Consider the following 3,385-nt stretch of genomic DNA (forward strand, 5'->3'; position numbering starts at 1 on the left):
TCTCTGCACTCCTGCCTCCTTCACCAGCCCATTACCTGTCCATCTATCTACCTCCCACCTATCTATATATCTATTTAACTATGTCTGTCCATCTATCAATCTCCCACCTGTAAATACCTATATATCTGTGTCTACCCATATTTTTACCTACCTATCCCTTATAATTAAAAATCAAAACTGAGATAGGTTTTGTGGTGAAACTTTATAACATAAAACTTGAAAAGTAAAGTCATCTTTTTTCTTATACGAAGTTACACTGAATTTGAGAAAGATATGACTAGCTTTGTCATTTGTATTTTTAGATATATATTTTCTATAAATTGAATATTCTAAATCTGCACTTGCAAAGTTTTAATAAAATCATACCTATTGTACACATGCAATATAATTATGGGTGTAATTACATTCTTTGCAACTATGAAAGTTAAGATAAAAACTTTAGGTGTCATTATAAGCATGTACGAACAGAAACAGTTTTTCAAAATACTTTTAGGGGTACTGAAGCAAAGATTTGAACATGGATTTTATAGGCTTCACTGTCTGACCCTTGAAATAATCTAAGTCAGGTATCTAAAAACCCCTGCCCAGAGACCAAATCTAGCCATTGTCTATTTGTTGTTGGTTTTAGGGATAGAAGCTAAGAGTGGTTTTTGCATTAAAAAAAATTACATATTAAATGGTTTTGGAGACTCGGTAGCTTCCTCAATATTTAAATACTTCTATTTTAGTAATCTTTGGGCCAAGTGACGAAAATAAGGATGCAGTTCTAATCCCAGAGGAGGTAAGAGGGAGAAAAGGAAGGTAAGAGGAAAAAAAAAAAAGGCAGAAGAAGTATGAGATCCTGGAGCAATTCTAAGAAAGTTTCAGCAAAGATGATGGGGAGTTCTCAAGCCAAATGAGTTCTCAGTGGAGTCCACTGTCTCCAAGAATGCGTCGGCCCTGGTATCCTGCCTCAATCAGTCGTGGCAGGAAAAGCCGGCAGGATGTGTGGTCTCATCATGAAATGAGTGACAGATTTCATAGCACAGTGCCTGGAGTTGTTGATCACTTACACACTTCCTGCTGTTTCTGATCTAAGAGACGTATGTTCATGACAGCCATACTTTGTAACAACAGAATAAACTCTAAGTTTTATTTTTTCTAAAATAATGTCTGAAATTGAATACTAATATGCTTATCTCTCATCATGTTACTCTCCGTTTTATGTCGACTTTGAGATCCCTCTCAACCTGGAGGAAATAAGATATATCACTATATTTGTTTCTAATAGTTTTAATAATATTTAGGGTTAGATTGAGCAGGGAGAAAAAGGACCTCATATATGCATGCACATAATACATATGCAAATACATAATATATGCATATGTTGTATATAATATGTAATATATGGTATATTAATCATGATATATAGTATATATGTTTATATGTTACAAAATCAATAATTTGAAAGCTCTGTAACTATTAATGCAATTTATAATTAAAACACTCCCAAAATACATCTCTGGGCTTAGAAGATTTCACTGGAAGGAATGTATTTTATTAAATGATTAAATAATTATTAATAATTATACACAATTTCTTTCAGAAAATAGAAGAAGAACCACTTCCAATTCATTTTATGATGGTACTGTTGTTCTGAGAACAAAACCAGACTATGTGGTACAAAAAAAGAAAAGTACAGAAAAATATTCCCTATGGCATAAATGCAAAAATCCTTAAAATATATTAGCAAATAGAATTCAACAATAAATAAAAATAATTATAAACCAAGGCCAATAAGGTTTATATTATGCAAGCCTCAGAGCTTTAAAATTAATCCTGTGATCCATCATATGAAGAAGCCAAAGAAGAAAAATCATAAAATTAATCAATGCACAAAAAAATTTAACAAAATTTAATATGTATCAATGATTAAAAATCCCAGAAAGCTCAGAATAGAGAAACTTCCTCAACTTGAAAATAGCATCCCAAAAACCTTGAGGGCAACATACTGAATGGTAAACAACTGAATGCTTTTCTTCTAAGATCAGGGACAAGGCAAGGATGTCCACCCTCACCACTCTTTTCTAACAGTATTGTAAATATAGCCAGTGAAATAAGTCCAGCAGTACTGTAAATTCTAACCAGTGAAATAAGTCTAATAGTACTGTAAATTATAGCCAGTGAAATAAGTCAAGAAAAAGAGAAAAAGGGTATTCCCATTGGAAAAGTAGAAATAAAATGTTCCCAATTTTCAGATGACATCTTTGCCTATGTAGGTAATCTCAAGGACTACAAAAAAGAAAAAATTCTAGAACTAATAAGTTAGTCTAGCAAGGTTATAGGATACAAAATCAACATACAAAAGTCAATTATACCTCCGTATACTTTTAATGAACAGGTAAGCACAAATTAAAAATATAATATTTATAATTGCTCATGCAAAAGAAAAACTTAGGTATAAATCTAACAAAACGTACAGGACTAATATGGTTAAAACTGCAAAATGTTGAAGGAAAAAAAAGAAGATCATAAATAGAGTGCTGCTTATTCATGGTTGGAAAACAATATAGTAAACAGTATTCTAATTTTCCTCAAATTGATATTCGATTTAACACAATTCCTATCAAAATACCAGCAAAATGTTTTGTAGATGTAGATGTGATTATCTAAGAATTTTGTACAAGAGGAAAAGGACTTAATTGCTAAAACTATTTTTGAAAATTAAGAGTTAAATGAGAAAATTCAGTTGACCTTTATTTTAAGAATTATTATGTAGCTACATTAATCAAGACAAGGTAGTGGTACAGGGATAGACACATAAATCAGTGGAACAGAATACAGAACTCAGAAATAAACCCACAAAAATATGGCTAATTGATTTTTAACAAAATCATAAAAGCAATTCAATGGAGGAAAGAAAGGCTTTTATAAGAAGGAAAAAAAAAAAGGAACCTCATCTGAAGCTATCAGCTTATACCAAGATTAACAAAAAATTAATCATGGGCTTAATCGTAAACTATAAAACTTTTAGAAAAACACATAGGAGAAAAGCTTTAGGATCTGAGTTTAGGCAAATAATTATTAAGCTTGAAACCAAAAGTATGGTCCATAAAAAGAAAGATGGGCAAATCTTTTGTTCTTTGAAAGACATTGTTAAGAGGCTGAATATATAAGCTGAGGACAGAAAATATTTGCAAACCACATTCAACAAAGGACTATATCTAAAACATATAAAGAAATCTCAAGACTTAATAGTAAAAAAATATATAATTAGAGAACGAGCAAAAACATGAAGAGACATTTCACTGAAGGTACAGGTGGAAAACAAGCACATGAAAACATTCGACATCATTAGCCATCAGGGAAATGCAAATTAAAACCACAATGCAATATTACTACACAT

Source organism: Homo sapiens, chromosome 7, assembly GCF_000001405.40.
Source record: "Homo sapiens chromosome 7, GRCh38.p14 Primary Assembly".
NCBI lineage: Eukaryota > Metazoa > Chordata > Mammalia > Primates > Hominidae > Homo > Homo sapiens.